This window comes from Homo sapiens, chromosome 15 (assembly GCF_000001405.40).
Source record: "Homo sapiens chromosome 15, GRCh38.p14 Primary Assembly".
NCBI classification, from domain to species: Eukaryota; Metazoa; Chordata; class Mammalia; order Primates; family Hominidae; genus Homo; species Homo sapiens.
Genome location: NC_000015.10, coordinates 77,562,862 through 77,584,324, shown reverse-complemented (window position 1 = coordinate 77,584,324; position 21,463 = coordinate 77,562,862). Strand labels below are relative to the sequence as shown.

At 54.4% G+C, this 21,463-nt stretch overlaps 1 long non-coding RNA gene across 3 annotated transcripts in view, besides 5 other annotated features; it reads right to left on the bottom strand.

Moving 5' to 3' along the window:
• The window catches only part of LOC105370906 (uncharacterized), a 61,603-nt gene extending 46,137 nt beyond the window's left edge, over positions 1-15,466 (bottom strand). The window contains exons 1-3 of one of the 3 annotated variants that reach the window (XR_001751806.2): positions 15,149-15,466; positions 11,880-12,074; positions 11,586-11,760 (exon numbers count right to left, since the gene is read on the bottom strand). This is a non-coding gene — a long non-coding RNA (uncharacterized LOC105370906). The other 2 variants (XR_932495.2, XR_001751807.2) reach the window with 2 other exon arrangements.
• Positions 1,899-2,399: an enhancer, noted in NCBI's record as "H3K4me1 hESC enhancer chr15:77874268-77874768 (GRCh37/hg19 assembly coordinates)". NCBI's record gives its function as "activates a minimal SCP1, AML or CMV promoter by ChIP-STARR-seq in naive H9 embryonic stem cells {active_cell/tissue: H9 hESC(naive)}" and the evidence as "EXISTENCE:reporter gene assay evidence [ECO:0000049][PMID:30033119]".
• Positions 10,052-10,552: an enhancer, noted in NCBI's record as "H3K4me1 hESC enhancer chr15:77866115-77866615 (GRCh37/hg19 assembly coordinates)". NCBI's record gives its function as "activates a minimal SCP1, AML or CMV promoter by ChIP-STARR-seq in primed H9 embryonic stem cells {active_cell/tissue: H9 hESC(primed)}" and the evidence as "EXISTENCE:reporter gene assay evidence [ECO:0000049][PMID:30033119]".
• Positions 12,260-12,760: an enhancer, noted in NCBI's record as "H3K4me1 hESC enhancer chr15:77863907-77864407 (GRCh37/hg19 assembly coordinates)". NCBI's record gives its function as "activates a minimal SCP1, AML or CMV promoter by ChIP-STARR-seq in naive H9 embryonic stem cells {active_cell/tissue: H9 hESC(naive)}" and the evidence as "EXISTENCE:reporter gene assay evidence [ECO:0000049][PMID:30033119]".
• Positions 12,761-13,261: an enhancer, noted in NCBI's record as "H3K4me1 hESC enhancer chr15:77863406-77863906 (GRCh37/hg19 assembly coordinates)". NCBI's record gives its function as "activates a minimal SCP1, AML or CMV promoter by ChIP-STARR-seq in naive and primed H9 embryonic stem cells {active_cell/tissue: H9 hESC(naive and primed)}" and the evidence as "EXISTENCE:reporter gene assay evidence [ECO:0000049][PMID:30033119]".
• Positions 18,082-18,946: an enhancer, noted in NCBI's record as "H3K27ac-H3K4me1 hESC enhancer chr15:77857721-77858585 (GRCh37/hg19 assembly coordinates)". NCBI's record gives its function as "activates a minimal SCP1, AML or CMV promoter by ChIP-STARR-seq in primed H9 embryonic stem cells {active_cell/tissue: H9 hESC(primed)}" and the evidence as "EXISTENCE:reporter gene assay evidence [ECO:0000049][PMID:30033119]".

The window sequence follows — 21,463 nt, the reverse complement described above, 5'->3', positions numbered from 1 at the left end:
ACAGCTCCCGGCATTGCTGGGGCACCCCATCCACGGGCTGAGCTAGCTCCAGGGGTCAGAGGTAGCCCTTCAGCAAGAACTGCAGGTGCTTGCAGGGAGAAGCCGTGGGGTGAACAATCATAGGACTAATGAGGGCACCGGCAGGGCCCTCCAGCACCTGCCACACAGAGATTGTCGAAACATCATGTAATCTCTGAGCCTTAATCTCCTCACCTACAAAATAGAGACAATAGCAACTCCCCTAAAGGGTTATTTTGAACTTTAAATGAGATAATAGTAGCACAGTGCACAGCACATAGTGAGAGCTCAATAAAGATTTGCTTCCTTCTTTGGCAAGATTGTTGACTATTCAAGGCTGTTTTGGAGCTTTGGGAAAAGAAAATACACTGGTAGGGTCATTGATGACTGCCTAAGCCACAGTCCACATTAGAGCCCCAGGCCTATAAACAAAGACATCAGTGATTATTCTCCTGTGCTTATTCCAAAGCCACTAAGATGGTTACCTGGTCCTCTGAGGGAGTACAGTTCCTCCTGGGCCTCTCCTTGCACCAGTAGTGCCATTACTCTGGTACCACTGTTCATGCATGGTGTCTTAGCCCATCGGGGCTGCTATAGCCAAATACCTTAGACTAGGCAACTTACAAACAAGAGACATTTATTGCTCACAGCTCTGGAGGCTGGGAGGTCCAAGATCAAGGTGCTGGCAGATTCAGTGTCTGGTGAGGGCCTGTTCCTCGTAAATAGCCCCTTCTCATGGTGTCCTCACATGGTGGAAGGAGCAAACAAGCTTCCTTGGGCTTTTCTTTAAAGGGCACTAATCTCACTTGTGAGGGCTCTGCCCTCATGATCTAATCACCTTCTAAAGTTCCCACCTCTTAATACTCTTGCACTGGGGATTAAGTCTCAACATATGAGTTTGGGGGAGACAAACATGGGGGAGACCATGGCACATAGGCAGAGAGGCCTGCAAGGTGTTACCCGGGAGCCTGGGGGCCCATAGAGAGCAAGCCCTGTCCCCTCCCCATCCCAAATCCTGATTGTCAGAGAGGCCACAGCACCAAAGCCAGGAAGGCCAAGGAAGAGGAGAGGTAGACTGTGCAGAACATGGAGCAATCCTGGGCCCTGACTGCAGAAGAAACCTCCTGGTGAGAAGCCAAGGAGATCACGGCAGGTCTGCTGAGGGGTCAGTGCCCCCTTACCAGGGAGGCTGGGGAGGAGCCCAGGAGAGACTCCATGGAGTGGAAGCCTCCCCCACAAGCCCTCTGGCTCTATTCTACTTCCCCTCCACATCAGCCTGGGGGGTCCCCTGAGAGGGAGTCAGGCCAAGCAGCTTCCTGGCCCTGCCCTCAAGACTACGCTGCTGGCCCAGATGGAGGCTCAGATGTCATCTGGAAGGACAGGAGGGAGAGGCTTCTGTAAATATCAGAAGGGTGAGAGCCAGACAGGGGAGTTTATGCAGCTTCCTGCATTCCAGCCAGGAGGAATGGGCGCCGGGCTGGAGAGTGGGGAGCCAGGCTGGTGGGCGCTTATCTTCTCTGTCCCCACCCTAGTCACACCAGAGATGCCAGCCCCCTGCAACTGGCCTAGGATCCCCAGCACAGCCATTGTCACTGCCCCTTTTATGGGCGGAAAATGAATCAGAGCGAGGCTGTCTCCCCTCAATTGCATTCAGGGCTCCCCTTGCAAGAGAGTAATAGTGGCACTAATGGGTTAGTGGATTTGTCTTCCAGGATCTGCAAGACACTAATTGGGGTTTCTAGTAGCCTCAGGCATCCTTGGGGCAGGGCTCTGAGAGCACCCACAGAGCCCCCAGGAGAGTGGCGAGGGGTCCTCCCGCTGCACTGACCTGGTCCTCTCCCCAACATGAGTGCCCCGGCTGGTGTCCCTCTCCACCTGCATCCCCACCCACATCCCTGAAGGAGGAAGCTCACAGCACTGAGCAGGTGCAGAGAAACTTCCTGCCCACTCCGGGGCATGTCTGTGCTCCCGTCACGTCTCCCTGGCACACACCCCTTAAATGCGGCTGCACGCTCGCCACAGAAGAAGACCGTGGAGAGAGGTCCAGGTGAAGAGGGGACTAAAGGCTGGCTGCTGGGTGGGAGGCCCAGGCCTTGTCAGGACCCGGGGGTGACCTCTGCTGCTTCTCCTCCACTCACCCCCATGGCGGGGGCGGGGGTGGTCAGCCACCCTCAATCCAGGTGAGACAGGCCCCTGCCTGAGCCCTGCACTTCAGAGGACCCTGGAACTCTGCCAAAACGGGCTTCTTCCCTCGGCCTGCCAATGTGCACACTCAAGTCCTGAGGGGTGTCCCGGGGGTGGGTGCAGCGGGGAGGGAGTGGGCAGAGCTTGGCCTTGTCAGCCGGGGTGTCTGTCCCCACATATGTGAACAAGGTCCTTTTAAGGGTGGCACAGAGCTCAGGGTAGGGTAATAGGGGAGGGGCTGGGCCAGGGCCTGGGGCTGGGGTCTGAGGGTCAGTTCTTCCCGACAATTCCATAGCTGAGCCTGGCCTTCCAGGCTGCTGCTTGGCAAGGGAGGAGCCCAGAACGTGTTTTATTTAACAATTTGTTGGCTTGATTGATAACCTTTAAATATCTAGATACATGGTGTGTGGGCCTCCATTGGTACCATTACCCCATACCTCACAAGTGTTAGGTGTGGGCCGGGGCAGGGGCTGGGGCGTTACACAGGAATTCCCTATGCTCTGAGGTAACATCTCTCAGCAGTGGGCGGCAAAGAGTGACTAAGGGCACAGCTGCCAGCAGGCACCAGGCTACGGAGTCTCGCCAGCTGGCAGGAGAGACTTGTTCAGCAATCAAGCCTCCAGTGTACAGATGACAAAACTAGAACCTAGAGGGAGGCAGGGACTTGTTCAATGATGTGCAAAACCCCGTGGGCATGCACGGGTGTGTGCAAGTGCAGGGCACCCATGCGCGACAGTGGGGGCAGTGCGTGCGTGGATGCGAGTGCTCACAAGGGCATGGATTGCCGGGTTGGTGGGCTTTTGTTCTTCTCCACATTTGTTCTGCATCAGAGAAGATCCATCATTTCCTTCTCCTGTAATGATGTTGACCTGATTAAAATCTTTATTGGGTTTCACAAAATAATTTCATACACAACGTTCCCTGGGGACCCTGCTGGAGGAGGTAATGGCAGGGGATTGAGTGGCTGGGGGGCTAATAGGAGAAGAGCTAGTGACAAGTAGATTTAGAAAGAGGTTGAGGTGGAAAATAATTCGTGTGCTGCTGAAATGGTCAGTAGGGGACGGGCCAGGCAGCAGGGAGGTTAAAAGCCATGCCTTTTAAGTCATACTCTTAGGAAGCTGCAAGTAGAAACATTGACATGGGCCAGCCATGAGAAGATGTCGGATGGCCCTGGCAGAGGGCCTGGCAGAGGACAGAGAACAGTGCGGGTCCACGGCTTTAGGAGCAAAGGGTGGATACTCATATATCTCTCCCAGTCCAAGCCTCTGGTCCATCGCTGACCCACTCCTGGGTCAGGAATGTCAGGGTCTGGGGGTGCACTGGGGTCTCAGGGCCAAAGCCAACAGTCTCCAGATGGCGAGAGCTGAGGGCAGGCCTTGGAGGCAGCCCCTTTCTGCTGTTAGCAGCCATGTCGTGGGTACGTTCCAGGATGTGTGGTACAACTAGCCTGGCTCAGTCCCCCACTGGCCGGGTGACCTTGGGAAAGTCATTTCACCTCTTGAGCCTGAGTGTTCTCACCATAGGAAGCATGAGAGGATTCAAAGAAATAGTAGACGCAAAGTTCCTGGCACAGGTGGGTGCCCAAACATGACAGCTGCTATTGTTATTATTACTACTGTAATTTAGTCATTCCGTTATTTATTCTATAAGCTCTCATTCATTCTACCTACTATCCTATGCACTGGGGATAGAGCAATGAAAAGTCTCTGACCTCATGGGGCTTACATTCTAGAGGGGAAACAAACACCAAATGAAATAAGTGGCAGGGTCTCACTCTGTTGCCCAGGCTGGAGTGCAGTGGTGCAATCATAGGTCACTGCAGCCTGGACCTCCTGGCCTCAAGAGATCTTCCCACCTCGGCTTCCCAAAGTGCTGGGATTACAGGCATGAGCCATCATCCCCACCCATGAATTGTATTTCAGATGGTGATAGGCACTATGGAAAACAATTAAGCAGGGACTTGGGGGTGCTAGGGAGGAGCTGTAATTTAAAGAAGTGGTCAAGGAAGGCCCCACTGAGAAGATGGTCCTTGAGTATGGATGCAAAGAGGGTGAAGCCGTGAGTCCCGGGGGGCCTGAGCTAAGAGGATCTGAGGCCACAGGAACAGCAAGTGCAAAGGCCCTGAGGCGGGCGTGTGCCTGGCATGCAGAAGGAGCATTGACGAGGCCAGCATGGGGGAAGCAGTGTGAGCTGGGGGTGGGGGGAGCATGAACCCTGAGGTTAGAGAGGAGAGGGGGCCGAACCAATATGACCATGTAGGCTGCTGTGAGGACTTGCGCTTTTCTCCAAGTGTGACAGAGCCTCGCAGGGTTAGCCTTCTCCCCGCCAGACGCTGGACTGCGTGGGGGCTTGTTGTGCCTTTCCCAGCCCCAGTGAGCCTGGTACCTGCTCCCCACCTGAGACAGGATGGACGTGCCAGTTTTTGCCTCTTCTCAGGAAAATCCCCAGAGGCAGCCACAGCCTGATGCAGGGAAGGATTGGGGTGGGGGTGAGGCTGAGCAGGCCCCAGGCCCCAGGACTGCATGGCAGCCCTGCCTCGGCATCTGCCCCTCCCTGTCCCAGGTTCCAGCCACCTCTCCTGGCTCTTGTTTCCAGGCCCTCCCTATCTGGGACACCCCAGCTTGTCAGTTCCAACCGTAGTTTTTAAATTCAATATAATTTTCTTTTTAGAGACCCGGTCTCACTGTGCTGCCCAGGCTGGTCTTGAATGCCTGAACTCAAGAGATCCTCCCGTCTCGGCCTCCCAAAGTGCTGGGATTACAGGCGTGAGCCACCGTGCCCAGCCTCCCACAGTGGTTTTTGTTTGTACAGTGTCACCAAGAGCAGGAGTGAAATCAGTACACTCCCTGGGGAAATGAGCATGCTCGAGGCCAGACAGAGCGCCAGCTGGACCTAGCCAGGTGCCAGGCTGGAAGCCCCATCCATGTGAGTGCCCTGTTGCCACAGACACAGCTGAAAGCACCCAAGATCAAGAAGAAAACTGAAACCCGCTATGGGAGCTGTGACCAGCTGGGGCAGAAGGCTCAAGACGAGAGGCCCCTGTGAGGGACAGGGCTCACTCCTCCTTAACTCAGCCCACTCCCTCGAGTGCCCGCTCTATGCCAGCCAGCCCCAGAGACAGTCAAGATAAGTGCATTCCAGGATCACCGTGCCCAGCCGAGGGGGAAGGGGCTGAAGTCTAGCCCATGCTCCACTTGCCAAGCCTTGCACCACAATGTGAGGCTGTGGCCACCCGGAGAAGGGTGTCTCTAATTCTCACAAAGGCAGTGTGCGGGCTGGCAGACCTGGTCCCTGCCAGGAGGAGCTCCTTAGTGGTGGTGGATGGACCAGGACTAGGGCTGGGGCCTGGACGGTGAGAGACAGATCAGTGAAGGTAAAATCACTGCTCAGTGTTGGAGGGACTGACGGGGGTCAGGCCAGGAATGCCGGAAGAGCTGGCCCAATCTGAGCATCCCCAAGAAGGTGCTGGGAGTAGCCAGGTTCATGTTGGGAGGTGTGTGGGGAGTGGGGGGTGGTACCAGGGAACAGCCCTGGCAAGGGCCCAGAGGTCTGGGCAGCATGGCTGGATGGGGATTTTGGAGGGGAGGGGGAGCAGGCACTGGGGAAATGGGCAGGGCACAAGTACCCAGCTGGGGGGCTTGCAGGCGACACAGGAAAGCCTAGAGGATTCTAAACGGGATCTCAGAGGGCAGCAGGTTTGCATTTTAGAGCAGGCTCTGGGTCCAGTGTGCAGGTTGAATTGGAGGAGCCAAGAGGACCACTAAGGCCCCCAGGAGAGAGATGGAGTGCTGGAGTGGGGCAAGAGTTAAGGGGTGTGGTGTGAAGACCACTGGGACACAGATGTTTCCTGAGTTGGGAGGGAGGAGCCAGGTTCTAGCGGGATGGATAAAGTGGGGGTGCTGCAGGCCCAGGACTGAGATGTGGGGCAGAGCCCTGGGAGCAGAACAGATCTGAGGGCCAGGGAAACAAGGGTGAGTTGGGGCACACCTGCCTGAGCGGTGTGTGCAGTCTGCCATTCCCACCCGTCAGAGGTTTGGGAGCCAGGTCTAAACCTGGGCCTTCTCACCCCTCAGCTCTTGCTTCCTCGTTCCACTGGCCCCTGCAGCCTTCTCACCCTCCTCCCTCTATCTCTGCCTGTCCCCCACTTACCCATCCAGGTCCTCAGATAGAAAGCCCTGGAGTAAGGGGTCAGTGGAAAGGTTTTTGCTGAGTGGAGTTATTTTTACTAAGTGCCCAGATATTTTCAAAGTAGGCAAAGCTGGCAAGGTTGCATGCTTCTAGGGTCTCACTAAATCGAGGATGGGGGCATGGACCAGCCTGGCTGGCCCAAATATTTGCCGTGTTGCTGGGTAACCACCAGTCGGCCTGCAAGCTGGCATCTGTGGAAACGAGGACTTGGAAGGAAATTCACACAGCCACCAGGGGCCTGGAATCAGTTGGCAAAGCCAGGAAGCACCCCAAATGTCTCCTGAGAGTGGGCAGGCTGATCTTCCGGAAGCTGGCCCCCAGGAGAGAACAGGCATGAGATGGGATTAGCAGCTTCCTACGGACACCCAGTGGCTGCAGGAGCCGGCTTCCACAAATGAGCATCACGTGGCTCCAGCTGCATGGCCTAGAGGGGGAGGCCGGCTCACTGCTCCATGCCCAGGCCCTGGTTTCTCTCTCCCTCTCTTGTTCTGGGCAGCTGCTGTGGTCACCCACAAGGGAATATTGGCTGTCTCTATGAGGATCTGCCCATACCATGTCCAGGGAGAACTTGGGGCAGGGAGAGGCACATAGAGAGAGGAGGCAGCCCACCACACAGTGAGGTTGGAGGGGCTCTGAGAGGATACCTACACACACACACATGCACCCATTCTGATCAACTGGCCTGCTGGAAATTCCATGATTAGGCATGGAATTCCTTAAGAGTTGGGAAGGACATCGGAGCGGGCCAGGACACCTTACATGCAGGGCAGCGATCCCAACCACACTAGCCCAGGCCCAGACAGCACCAGCCTCTGCGTGCACATCCTGAGAGCTGGGGAGAGCACCACCCTCAGAAGCATTTTGTCATCTTGGAGACAGCAATAACTGCTAGCATGTTTCTGAGCCTGAGCTTGACTCTTCCCCTGTGGGAAGGCAGGGGCTATGGGAACACCAGTCACATATGAGGCTGTGATGACCCAAGTGGGCTTTCCTGCTGCCCTAAGAGCCCACAAAGGAGGGCTCAATGGCCAAGCTCTGGGAGAATAGTGTGACAATGTACAAAAAGTAAGACCTCTACCTGTACTTCTCTAATCACAGAGAGCAGGTGGGCAGGCAGAGAGCAGAACCTGTGAACTCCAGACCAAGCACCCCCAGGCTGGGAGAACCAGTGGAGCTTTGCTTCTCTGAGCCTCTATTTTCTCCTCTGTAAAATGGGTACAACATGAATACTGCAGGGGCCATGGCGAGCAGGCAATGGTTAATGGTCATAGAGCCACCAGCAAGGGCTGTGTGACTGGGAGATGAGGAGGTGTCCCCTTTCCCTCTCTGGGTGGCTCCTGCTCTGACCCAAGCATGCCTTATTTCCTCTGGCATCAGAAAGCCCTCTCCTCACTCTATTCCATCCTCCCTCCTTCCTTTCTCCCCTTCCAGCTGAAATCCTCCACACGTGGTTGCCATGAGCCTGCTCCGTGCAGCCTGGACAGCTGCCTTCCGCTCACCTCCACCAAAGGCCTCCAGCAAAGGTCTCAGTCTCAACCCCTACAGGCCTGTCCTCCTCCCCCTCCTCCTCCTTCTCCTCCCCTTTGTCCCCCCTCTTCCCCCTCCTCCTCCTCCTCCAGCATGAGGCACAGCTGACCATGTTCCTTCACACATTCTGTCTGCCCAAGTCTTTGCGGGCTGTGCGCTCCAGCCTCCCCCTGCTCCTCCCTGGCAGTGAGGACAAGGGCTCTGGCTTAAAGGACCTTTGCTGAAGCCCTGTCTTCTAAAATCTTATTCAGTTCTCCCATACCTCTGGCAGCATGGCACACAGGTGATATTCTGCCCATTGAACAGACGGTGGGACTGAGGCACAGGGAGAGGAGGGGACAGGCTGCAACGTAAAGAACCCAGGGTCTGCAGTCTTGGGTTCACACCCCCCTGCCATTTGCTAGTTGTGCCACCTTAAGCAGGTTGCTCAAGCTCTCTGGGTCTCAGCCTGCTCATTTGTAAAGCAGGGAGGAAGATAATCATATCTTTCTCATCGAGTTGTTAATTAATGAGTGAAAGCACTTAGCCCAGCACCTGCCTTATCGTGAGTGCCTGGTAAGTGTTGGCCCTTCCCTGGGGCAGAATCTCAATGAGGAGGAGTCCAGCTCTGCGGGCCCCACATGAACCCGGGCAGCACAGGGTGTGGGCAGGGCGGGGAACTCGGGGCCTGAGCTGCAGCCTCAATCCTGGACTGGGCAGCCAGGGACCTGAGTGAGCAGGGAAAGTGCTGAGCTTGTTGGAGGTGGGAGGCAGGAACGCAGACTCACCAGTTCTGGCCTCCAATAGGATGGGATGGGATGGAGGGCCGGGCAGTTGATGAGGGATTCTGCTAAAGTGGGGTTTCTTGTGTCTGCAATGACTCCCTTCCTCTCAGTCTCCCTGTTTAAAAAAAGGGCCTGGCTCGCTCAGCGTTTGTTGGAAGGAAACTCAGGGTGCCCTGCCTACCTTCCTTCAGAGCTCAACTCCAGCACCTCCCCTTCCTTATACCAGTGGCCACCGCCCTCCCTTCTGCTCATTGTCTTCATTTTTTAGAGGTGGGTGGCTCGGGGCTCTGCATCACTGGGAGTCGTAGCACTGTGCCCCACCAAGTGCCCAGGAACTGTGGGGCTGGGTTCAAATCCCACCCAAGCCCTGCCTTTGTTCACAGAAGGAAGAAAGTTCCCATCGCCAGGCACCCACCATGTGTCCCCATCCATAAACTCATCAGTCCTCACAAACCTCTCCCTTCCGAATCTCCAGATCCCCGTGCTTGGAGTTGGTACCCACAGATTCATCTGAGAAAGGCCCTGCATGGCCAGCTGGGGTTGCCAGCTCAGTTCTCCACTTCCTTGTCTTCTGGGAGGAGTCCCTAGTATTCCCCAAGGAACCTCCCCCTTCCCTCAATCCTTGTAGTGGGACTGACTCCTCCCATGCCCCTGAGGGTCGGCATGTGACGTGGGGCTTGACCACTGAAAGGGCCACATGCTTCTGATCACAACACTTGGTTCAGCTTTGGGCACACGGCCCAAGCTAAATCAATACCACTAAATTCTGGATTTTAGCTGGAGCTGGTGGGAAGATGTTCTGATTCTCCTGGACTTGGAGCCAGTAGGACATAACACTAGCATTTCCAGGGGCCATGGCAGGGAGGGAGCCAGTTTAAGCCACCACTGAGGAAAGCAGGGTAGAAAAGACAGAGAGAGACAATGTCCTCATGCTAGTGTTTGAGCCTCTAGATCCAGCTGTGCCTGAAGCCCATATACCCCTGGATTTCTCAGTTACATTAGAGAGTAAATCCTCTCTCTTTTTTTCTTTTGCTTAAACCACTTGGAGTTCATGCTACTTGTACCCAAGAAAACCTTAACTAACCTAAGAATAAAAATGTTGAAAGGGCAGGGACAGAGCGCTGTGGCACTGCTATAGGGACATCCACCTGGACTGACAGTAACTGTGAGTTGGTTCCCTTGGGGGCAGCTGCTTGACCAGGCAGTCACAATCTCTGCCCTGTCCTGCACCTTGATCCTCAGGGCACTATCCCAGCCTCACCAGCATCAAGTGCAAAGCCTCATGGGAGCGCAGACACCTGCCTCCTCATGCCCTGTCAGAAAAGAGGCTTTGGTCACTCTGGCCTCACCTACTCCTGATGAACCATGTAGAGCTTTCTCAGGGTCCTCAAATCTCCTTCATGATGGCCCCTTGGAGGGTTGCATGGAGACCAGTGTCACAGTTCACAGGCAACTCCACTCGGCAGCTGCAGAAGGGCTCTCTCTGGGGACCCAAGAAAGTCTGGGAGGCCCATCCACCAGCCCCAGAGAGGTAGGCAGACAACAGGATGACAGGCCAGACTCAGAGCAAAGGAAGGTAGGAGGGGCTGTGGGCAGGAGAAGAAAGGGCCACTTCAAAGCTCATAAAATCACAGCCAGTTGTACGACCCGAGATGAGCACTGGCTGGTTCCTAAATTATGCAGATTTGTGCAAATATTATGCAAATTAGTCATGCAAAGGTGGCAGGGGGCACTTGCTGACAGCCTGGCTCTGCAGCCTTCTCGTCAGTCAGCCTTGCCTTGTTCAGGGAGTGGAGGAGCTGTCACCTGCCAGGCAGCAAGAAGGGAGGGACAGGTTCTGCCCTATCCCAGCCTTCTGCCCACCCTTCCACTCTGGGGGGGCCTCTTCAAAGGCAGGCCCACCCCCCCATCCTCCACTTCTGGCTCCTGCCCTGGACTGCCAGCCCAGGGACAGCCACTCACAGCTGGGCCTTTCTGGTCACCTGGTCCAGCCACACCTTCCCATTGCACAGATGAGGAAAAGAGAGGCCCAAAGCTGGAAAGGACCTGTCCTGCCTCTTGAGGCTCTGTGGACCGACTCAGCCTGGTGCACCCACCCGTCACCTCCTTGAAGAGGTGGTCTTCTGCATGATCACAATAGGCAAACATGCACTTACTTCCTACTCCGCCTTGGGCCCCAGACATCTTTCCCAATCCATTCACCGTACCTAGAACCGATGGCATCAGTCATTAGAGAACTTGGGGCTAAAAGCAGGCAAAGTTTGGTCCCCAGAGTATGGGTGCTGGGGCAGGACCCTAGATAATTCAGCAACTTCAAAGCCTGTGCTTCCCTCCTTGTGCTGGGAGAGGGTGGAGGAGATTCCTCCAGCCTTGGTGCTGTTAGTCCCACCTCGGCAGCCACCTGGGCCGCCTGCCCTTCCCTTCTCCACCGTTTCCTATTCATCCCATCCTCTAATCACAGTGATGGAAACAGCAACCCAGTGGCTCATCTTGGTTGAGCAATTGCTTTGCACCAGGCGCCACTATGAACGTTTGGAATCCTCCCAACATCCCTCTGGGTTCGAATCTATTATTACTCCCATTTCATAGACAAGGAGACTGTGGAGCAGAGCGGCAAAATCCCTTGTTTATACTTGCACATCCTATAAGTGATGTGGTGGTATGCTTGGCGTCAGGGCACAAGTTTCAGAAACCCGTTCAGTGCAGTCTCCCTCCTCCTTTTCCTCCAGGAAGGCTGTGCTAAAGCCATCTGCCAATGTCAGGCCACATTCACTAATACTCAAGGCTGCTTCTTTATTCTTCTTTCTTGAATTCCTGTAGCCCCAGTGTCCAAATCCTATGGCTTGGCCTGGAATTTATCTACCAGGCCTGGCCAGGGCTCTCTGAGAACAGGACAGAGCTTACCTCCACCGGAATATTTCCCTGTGGTGGGCCAGCACCGAGCGGTTGCCCACTGGGGGCCCAAGCAGATCTGGGGCCTGAGGGAGAGCAGCAGGGGTGTCGGGGGCCCCAAAGCCTGGACAGCTGTTCCAGTGCCAGATCCACAGAGCCCAGTGAGCCACATCTGGATTCTTCCTCCCTGCCAAGTGCCATTGGTGGAAACGAGAGAGAGAGAGAGAGAGAAACAAGAGACTTAGCCTTGTGCCACCCTCCAACTGCCCTCATACCTCCTGCTCCCCAAAAAAGCTTCCAGCTCACCTGTTCTTCTGTCCCCCAGAACCCAGGGACCCTCCAGGAGCCCCGACCTGGGCCTCCAGGGATGCTCCCCTGGAGTACAAGGGGAGTCCAGCCGCAGCTTCCAGGAAGGCCCTGAGAGATGTTGGTTTGCAGCCCCTGACGGTACAGCTGTGTGTGCTGAGTCAGGGTAGAGGTGTGGTCTGAACCATCTTCTCCCTGCACCAGAGAATATGCCTTAGTCCACAGAGTTAGAACCTCTTTTATGGTCCCAGATACTTTGGAAAATATGAAGAAAGCCCTAGACCCTAACACGGAGAGTCAAGGAACGGCCTTGACTTTTCACGCCCCACCAACAGGGTCTCTGGCCATTCTCCTTGCCCTTTGACCCCAAAGCCGGACTTGGACCTGCTGGCCCAACTCTACCTGGGCCCCACACCACTCCAACGCCAGTCGAGATCCTGGGGGATGCTTCTTGCTATGCCAAGTGACACCACGATGGCAGAAGCCCGGGCGGCCCAAGGGTCCTAGACGGTCCATCACCGCTAACCGCTTCCCCCGACAGCCGCCAGGGTGGCAAGAGGCCTGTGCGGCTCTAAACCTGGCTTCAGTGGGGGGCCAAAGGCCAAAGGGAGGCAGCCAAGGAAGATGGGAAGACTTGGGCTGTGCAGTCAGGCAAAGCAGCTGTGTAGCCTGGGGCAAGTCACCTCACCTCTCTGGGCCGCATTACCAGTGCCGATAAATGGAATCATTGCTACTACCCAGGCTTGAAGTAAAATCATATCCAAATGCCCCAGCACAGTGCCCAACACCAAGCAAGCACTCAGAGAAGGTGAACTGCCTGCTCTTTACCCTGGCTGTGTGACCTCGGAGGGTGCCCATCGTGGACGTCCCAGGCAAGCCCCAAGCTCCCCTCAGACCAATGTGGTTTGCAGCCAGTGGTGCCATATCCACCCTCGGATCCTCAAAATTCCTCCTCTGAGGCTGCCCTGGGCAAGAACCGGAGACAGTGGGCAGTTAGAGGCATGGCATGATGTGAGGGGTAACAAGATGAGCCCACCACTGGCATCTCACAGCCCCAAATGCCACCATGCATGCGTCAGCTCTTGGGCTCAGCATTCTGCTCCTCCCCTAGGGGGCGGGGGGCAGGCCTCAGCCCCTTCCTACTCGGGTAGTGTGTGGATCAGATGCTGTCCTTTGTCCAGGTGGGCCCTGTGCACCTGGGGGCTGAGGGAACGTCTGAGCTGGGCCAAGAAGACAGGATCATCAAGGATGTTCCCAGCACCACCGTTTGTCAGAGCAAAAACCAGAAACAACTCAAATGTCCATTAATAGGAAAATTGTTAAAAGAACGAAGGCCCAAAAAAATTTGCACAAAAATACTTTGAAGCGACCGAGCACGGTGGCTCACACCTGTAATCCCAACACTTTGGGAGGCTGAGGCAGGCGGATCACCTGAGGTCGGGAGTTCGAGACCAGCCTGACCAACATAGAGAAACCCTGTCTCTACTAAAAATACAAAATTTGCCGGGTGTGGTGGCGCATGCCTCTAATCCCAGCTACTTGGGAGGCTGAGGCAGGAGGATCGCTTGAACTTGGGAGGCGGATGTTGCCGTGAGCCGAGATCCTGCCATGGCACTCCAGCCTAGGCTCAAAACTTAGTCTCAAAAAAAAAAAAAAAAAAAAAACCTCGAAGCAGTTATAGATCTATATTTAACATAGGACAATTTTCCTAAACATATGGGGAACAAGCAAATTCCAGAGCAAGATATATCAGTAGGACCCTATTTATGTTATTTAAAAAACACCATATCTGTGCACATGTAGGTATTTTGTATGGTTTTGTTTGTTTGTTTGTTTTTGAGACAGTCTTGCTCTGTCACCCAGGCTAGAGTGCAGTGGTGCGATCCTGGCTCCTGGGTTCAAGCGATCCTCCTCCCTCAGCCTCCTGAGTAGCTTGGGATTACAGGTGGGCGCCACCACGCCTGGCTAATTTTTGTATTTTCAGTAGAGATGGGGTTTCGCCATGTCTCAAACTCCTGACCTCAAGTGATCCGCCCACCTTGGCCTTCCAAAGTGCCGGGATTCCAGACCTGAGCCCCGACACCCGGCCAGTATTCTGTATATTAATATGATCTGTGGGGAAAGTCTGCCAGGTGTGTGTCAAACTGCTAATGATAGGAAGTGGTGGAGGGTGCTCCGCAAGGACAGGGAGCCTCCTGTGTAATGTGCTGGTTGTTTGAGTTTTTGTGGTGAAAATTTATTCGTGGATTACCTGAATACATGTGTAAATATTTTTAAGATCCTAAGATCATAAAATTGAATGCACACACACACATTTCAAAAGGCTGCACAGGGGTCTGGAGGCCCCACCACAGCTCCCCTGGTGCCAGGTGGACCCCCTGCCTGGCTGCTCTTGGCTGCCTCCCTCCCCCAGCTCCCCTCCCCGCACCATCACAGCCAAGCTCATTAGTTCTCACTGCTGCCCTTGTTCTGACCTCAGGGTTATGGAAACTTCAGCTCTGTTTTCACAACCTTCCATCAGCCATGCTCTATGGCCATCCCTCTCCCCTGATCAGACTCCAATCCCATCAGCTTTGTAACAGCTGCTCCCTCAGGCCCTAGCAAGAAGCCACGAGCCAGGGACAACCTGGGATGAGGCCTGGGGGTCCTGGCTCTCCGGCCGTGGCCCCCTTAGATCCCACGGAAAAACGGCTGCTTCCCAGAATAGCAAAGCCATAAATCTGCTGTACTATGAGGAAGAAAAAGCCCGAAGCCAAACTGCCCTATGTGTGGGAGGTTGGGGGTGAGAAAGGAGCAAAAGAAGACCCAGCCCCGCACTTAGGAGGCCCCAGTCTGGGAAGCCCGGGAGACTCCCCTTGCGCAACAAGCGGCAACAGAACTCAGCGATCGGCCAGACCTTTCGTTTTCAGGTGGAGTAACAGAGGCTCAGGGAGGGAAACGGGTTTGTCCAATACCCCCAGTGAGTCTGCACAAAACTTCTGCCTCACCCCAAGCTCCTGCTCCAGCCCTGAGCTTTGGCTTGTCTGAGTCCTTCCCTGCCAGCTCCCAGTAGCAGAAAGGTCGTGATCCACCAGCAGGAAGCTGACCAGGCAGAGCAGCCGGGTCCACGGGGCCGGAGGCAAGATAGAAGTATGTGCATCTCTGCGGTGGCCCAGGGAAAATATTGACTTTCTGGCTAATAAAGCCAAATTCCATGGAAGCTACAGCTCCGGACTGAGAAAATCCATCGGTGTTTCATAAATATTTGAAAGTGTCCAATGGATACTCACCGTGCGGTGGCTGAAGCCTGGGTTCGAGGGTGAACAGGGACAGAAAGCCCAGCCCTCACACAGCGCGGAAGCTCCAGAGTCACTTGGCCATCCATTCAGAAGCTGCCCGTATTTGTATTTGCTTTTGAAAGCAAAAGGAGCTCTGAAAGGACACACAGGAAACGAAAAGCAGGGTTACAGAGTAGGAAGGCGGAAAGGCTTCTTTCTCTATGCTGTGTTATCTTGTTTGGATTTTGAAACATGTGAATGTAATCCCTTTTCAAAATAATAAAAAAATTTTAAACTGCTTCTGGGGCCACTGTCTCCCTAGTCCTGTCTGGGTGCCAAAGGGAACTGAGGAGGGTATAAAACCAGGCCTGGCCTGGGGGCAACCAGCTGGGGGCAGGGGAGATCCAGTTGTCCGTGCCAACTTCCATCACAGCTTTGGCTTGTGATTGTTTGTGTGCCTCTCTCCCTGCAGGCCTGTGAGCTCTGGAAGGCGCAGAGCTCAGAGGAGCGCATTGTTGTTAAACAATCCTGAGTGTTTTAGGGAGAGCCTCTCCATACTGCAGATGCCGAGCAATGACAGGGTCGTACAAGTACATTCATAACAGGTAGGGGCCTACGACTCTTTACCCCCACTGTGCCCTCAGAAATCCTGCCCATGCCCCCAACCCATGCTGCTGGGTTGGTCTTCATGGCCCAGGGTTGCTTGCCTCAGCCTCGATCATAGTAACAAAGCATTTGAGCCAGACAGGCCCTCGGGAGTCACCCAGTCCCGAGGGAGTTATCTAGCACCAAAGGGCGTGTCAGTGGCAAGGCTGGTCCTGGAACCTAGATCAGTTTATGATGTTTAAACCAAACTTCTTTCTCCAATGCATGGCAAGCCCTCCTTTATCCAGATGTCCTTGGTGATGAGGAGGTCGCTTAGCCAGCAGCCTGTCCTCCCCAGAGCTTCGCCAAGAGACAAGGAGACTAGAGCCAGACTCCGTCCCAGGTCCTCAGGGCCTTGCTAGGTGTTATTGAAGAACACAGCTTCCTCAGCAGCCTCAGGCCAGCATGGGGACTTGTCCCAAAGCATCAGCAGCTTCTCACCAGCAGGTCTGGGGACCCTCGGGCCTCTGCCCCAGCATAACTCAGCTTCCTAATCACTGCTGTGCACAGCAGGCTTCCTAGGGCCTAGCCTGACAGAGACAAGGGAGAACTTCTACCTCTTCCAGAGCAGCTGGTGGTCAGCCTGAGGCCTGCAGAGAGTGCCCGTGGTCAGCCCCAGCACAGTGGTTTCAATTCCAGCTGCAGGAGCATGGGGACAGAGGGGCATGTACTGGGAGTAGATGGGTGGGAGTTCCTTAAGGGAGGGGGCTGAGCTGGGGCTTCGAAGGCTGCTACTCATCACTTCAGCTGCAGATCCAACCCCTTCCCTCATGGTCTCACACCTGTATGTGCACACACATGTGCAAGCCTGAACAAACATGCACAAACACATCGTGGATGTCTGTGTGTGTTTCCATATGTGCCCAAGTACACAGGAACATGGAAAGTACATGCACATGAACAAAATGTCCTTCAACGCACACAGGTAGACAAGCAGGGAGTGCAGTGGAGCTTGGCGGGCCCTCGAATCCTCAGACAGGGAGGCTGGGATGGGGCAGAGTTGGGGACTCTGGCAAACAAGAGCCTCCTACTTCCCAGCTCCGGGTCCTTCACCTGCCCCCAGGTCTCTCAAGGGGAGAGGAGAATCGGGGAAGGGAGGAAGCCCTGCACCCCGCCTCTAGCACATGCTTGCATGCCCACACTCCCTTACACCACATGGTGTGGGCGTGAGCTAGAGTCAGAGGGCCACGTTAGGACATTGTTCTGTGCTAATTAGTTTCTGCAGCCCAGGTCGGCCTGGCAGAGATAGGAGACCCCCTTGTGGCCTGGCCCAACTCCCAGCCTGCCTGCTGTCGTGGCTGTGCCCCCTGTCCAGCCCACGATCTTCTCTCTCTGCCCTCCTCCTGCACCCACCCCATCAACCCTCAGCTCTCCTGTCTCGGGGGTGAGCTCTGGGGGTCTCCCTGGGGTTCCATCTGCCATGTGGAGCACTCCTTTCCAAAACCTCCCAGGCCACAGACCCTTGGCTTTGAGCAGATCCCAAGGGCAGTATCGACACTGGCCAGTGGGGCTGCTCCAGCTCTGCTTCCCTCCAGGGACCAACTGCAGCCCCACTGCATGCGCACCTGGGAGAGTCCAATGGGATGCAACCGGGATGACACCTGACATGGCTCATTTCATCCTCTCAGCAAACTGTGGTTACAACTTTTATTCTTATTTTATTAGTGACAGTGGGGAGGGAGGTGTGGTCACAGAGAGTCTGAGCTAGGTGTCACACGTGTCCAAACACCTCTTCTCTCTGTCTTCCCAGGCAGCCTTGTCCATTGTGGGGCCTCAAACACCCTCTCTATGTTCCTCAGACACAGTCCCAAACCTGCCCCTCCTGCACTCTCTCCCATCTCAGGAAATTTTCCTCTATTCACTGGCCCCTCATTGACTCCTTTTTCTTCCTCACCCCGAATTCCAAGTCCTGTCTGCCTTTAGGATCTCTCCCAACCCCTCCTTTTCTCCGTGTCCACATTACCACTGTCCTGTCCCAGGCTGCTGTCATCTCTCCCCAGAATGAACGCAACAGCCTCCCCCAGCTACTCACCCGCTCTCACTCCTCTGCAAGTTTCTCTCAGCCAAGCAGCGAGATCTTTCAAAGCCATCAATCAGATCTCATTTCACCACCACCCCTCCCTTAAAACCTTATAATCCTTCCCAGCTCCTAAGGTGGCTGATAGCACCTGTGAGGCTTCTCTGGGCCGGTTCACCACACATCCCCGCAGCTCCCTGCCTGCCAGCCACACTGGCCATGCTGCCTCAAGGCCTTTGAATAGCATGGTCTGTTCCCTCCACCTGAAATACCCCTGCTGTGCCCCCAGCAAGATCCCACTTCAGGCCTCAACCCAGGCCTTTCCTTTCCCCTAAAAGAGCGTTTTCCTGAACCCCCAAAAGCTCCTCCCTTTCTCTTTCTCTTTCTACACTCTTCCTTTAGAGCACTTATCCTAACTTATTACATATTTATTCCTTTTTTTTTTTGTCTAATATCCATCTCTTTCAACAGATATTAGCCCTGAGAAGAAACCAACGTCTATTTTACCGATCACTAGAGCACTGTCCCTGGCACAAAGTCGTTGCTCAAGAAACACTTGAATGAACGAATGAATGAGTGGATGAATGAATGGTAAGCCTCCTTGGCTAGAAGAGAGTGGAACGTGGGCACCCACAGAGGACGGGAGTCGGTACAGGGAGGGCAGCCTGGATCTGCAAAGACAAGGACCCTGGCCTAGCCCAGGACGTGGCTCTGGTTGGAGGGGGCGGGCAGTGGAACGAGCCCCCTCGGCTGCTCTGCGGGCAGCGGGGTCAGGGTGCAGAGGGAATGGATGGGAAGGGCTAGGGTGGGCTTATGTGTGGGTGCGTGTGAGCGCGCATGTGTGGAAGGAGTGACGCGCGCGCTGGCTGCCGCGTGGGGAAGGGGGAGCTAGCCTCATTGCTGCAGATTTGTATTCCTGCCGACTTTTATTTCAGGCCTTGTTTATTTCTCCTTAAAACGCGGCTGCTATGCCAAGAGTCGTACCCAAATTAGCTGCGAGTGTGTAATTTTACAGCTATTACCCGGGTGTTTCTGTGACTTGGGTAATAACTAGGGAAATATAAACAAACAACAGCAAAGGCAGTTTAGCAAGGAGGCCTCTGAGTTCGGTGTCTCTGTTTTGAAGTGGAACAAGTCCCATCTCTCCCCTGTCCCCATTCCCACCACCCCTCTCTGAGTCGCATCTGGCCCAGTAACTGGGGATTGGGAGGCCCAAGGGTCCCAGAGCCCCAGCCGTGAAATCCTCCTCTCGTTGCCCCTCCCCCGGGAAAACAGGCCCATCCCCAGAGGCACAGTCCCACCTACCCACAGCGAAGACCCCCTCATGCTCCTCCTCCACAAAGGCAAACAAAGGCTGGCCTAATTCTGTGATATTTCCCTTCTCTGGTGGCTAATGGCACCAGAGCGTGTGTGACATTTCGCTCTCTCTCCTCTTTTATTCCCGCTTATTATCTGGCTGCTGCCAGAGGCTCTGGGCTGAGGCCGGCACTGGCACCCACTCCACCCTATCCCTCCTCCTCTTTGCCTCTGTCCCTTTTACTCTCCCTCACAGTACCTTCGTCATCTCCTCCCAAGAGGGACAAAGCTTGTCCCTCATCCTCCAGGCCCCCTCTGAGGGAAATGGGTCCCAGCAGAGGTCTGTGCTGGGAGGGGGTGGCCTTGGGCACCCAAGATGGGGGCAGGTCCTCAGGACCCCGCATCTCACCTTGGCTCCAATGCAGCCTCACAGAAGCCTCCGGTGTATCCCTCCCTCCTCCGTGCCTCAGTTTGCCTCTATCTGTGCCATGAAGAGGTGAGTCTTGATCCCGAAGGCTCTTCCTGCTCTAGTATTGAAAGTGAACCCCTAAAGGCTTGAGGGATGGCAAAGCCATCGAGGGGTTTTATGGGGCTGTGGGGAGTCTAGGCTGTGGGATTTGCAGCAAGAGGGGTGGGCTTGGGCCAGGAGTCGAGGCAGAGCCAGGGAGCCAGGGCAGAGGAGAAAAAGCTGGAGATCCCTGTGTGGGCAGCTGGCCTCCATTTCAACACACACAGTCTTTGAAAATGCTAACTTTGTTTTTCTTCCAAATAATCTTCATTTTTAAAAAATTACAGAAAGAAAGCAAAAGACCTCAAACTCCCTCTTGTCTCCCCCAGAGGCAACCCCTGTGAATGCTTCACTGTGTATCATTGCCAGCTTTTTCTGAGGTGTCCCTGTTCTATATTTTTTTATACACAGACTTTTTTAAGAAAACAAAAATTGGGTCATGGCATACATATTGATCAGCCACTTGCTTTTTTCCCTCACCAATATATCATGGACACCTTCCAGGTCGGTACAAAAGGATCAATTTTTAAATGGCCACAGGGTGCTCCATTGTACTGCAGGACCACCAGCCCCACACGGAGGGACATCTGGGCTATCTTCAGTTTGGAGCTGTATCTGTTTTCTGGCAGAATAAATAATGGTTACCTGACAACCCAAAGCTTAGCGTCTTAAAGCAAGCGTTTATTATGTTCGCAAGTCTCCAAGTCAGCTGGGCAGCCGTGGGCTGGGCTGGGCTGGGCTGGGCTGGGCTGACTCCCAGATGGGCTCCCTCACAAGTCTGTGGTCAGCAGGAGGATTGACCGGGGCTGCTGGTCTAGGATGGCCTCACCTGGGATGACCCACTTCTTTTCCTCATGTCTCTCATCCTACAGCAGGCCAGCTTGAGCTTGTCCTCATAAATCATGGGGTGGAAATGAGAGTTCAGAAAGAAACCCTCACATTATGGTCAATTGCCTTTCAACAAGAGAGCCAAGACCATTCAATGGGAGAAAGAATGGTCTTTTTGACAAATGATGCTGGGACAACTGGATGTTCATATGCAAAAGAATGAAGCTGGATCCCCTTCCTTGTGACAGGCACAAAAATGATCTCAACATGGGTCAGAGACCTAAATATCAGGGCTGAGGCTAGGGAAGGCCAGGTTGCTGGGGCCAGAGGTGGGAGAGAGTTGGATTAGCCCCTAGTGAGGCCCTCTGGGTCTTCTACAGTGATCGTCATGATTACTTTTTCCTTGGACTTTTGAGGTTGGCAAGTGTCAGTAACAGATCCTGGGGTGAATCAGTTGACACAAGAAGGCTTTGTAAAGATTTTTCATCCCTCTCCCAGTTTATCTGCTTTGGGGTTGGTGGGAGTGGGAATTGGTACAAACTTTGGGGGACAATTTTGCAGTTAATCGCACCATCCCTCAAGAATGCAAGAACCTTAGCACCCCCTCATCTCTCCTTTGCCATCTACAGAAATACCAGCCTCATGGAATAGAATGGTGTCCCTCACAGAATTGCTTCTAACCGCCTCTTTGTAGATCAATCACAAAAGTGGCCCCACACCTCCCTGTATCTACCCCTTTCCAATGTCACTTTGCAGCTCAGTCCATTAAGAGGTGGAGTCAGTTTCTTCATCCCTTGAATCTGGACTGCCTTTGGCCATTGAATGTGGTGGCAGCGACTCTGAGCCAGTCCCAAGTATACACCTGAACAGTTTCTGTATACTGCCACTGGCTCTCTTGGAAGCCTGGTCAGGATCTGCTATGAATACTTGCCAACCTCAAAAGTCAAGGAAGAAATAATCACGACAATCACTGTAGAAGACCCAGGGGGCCTGAATAGGGGCTAACCCAACCCTCTCCCACCTCTGGCCCCAA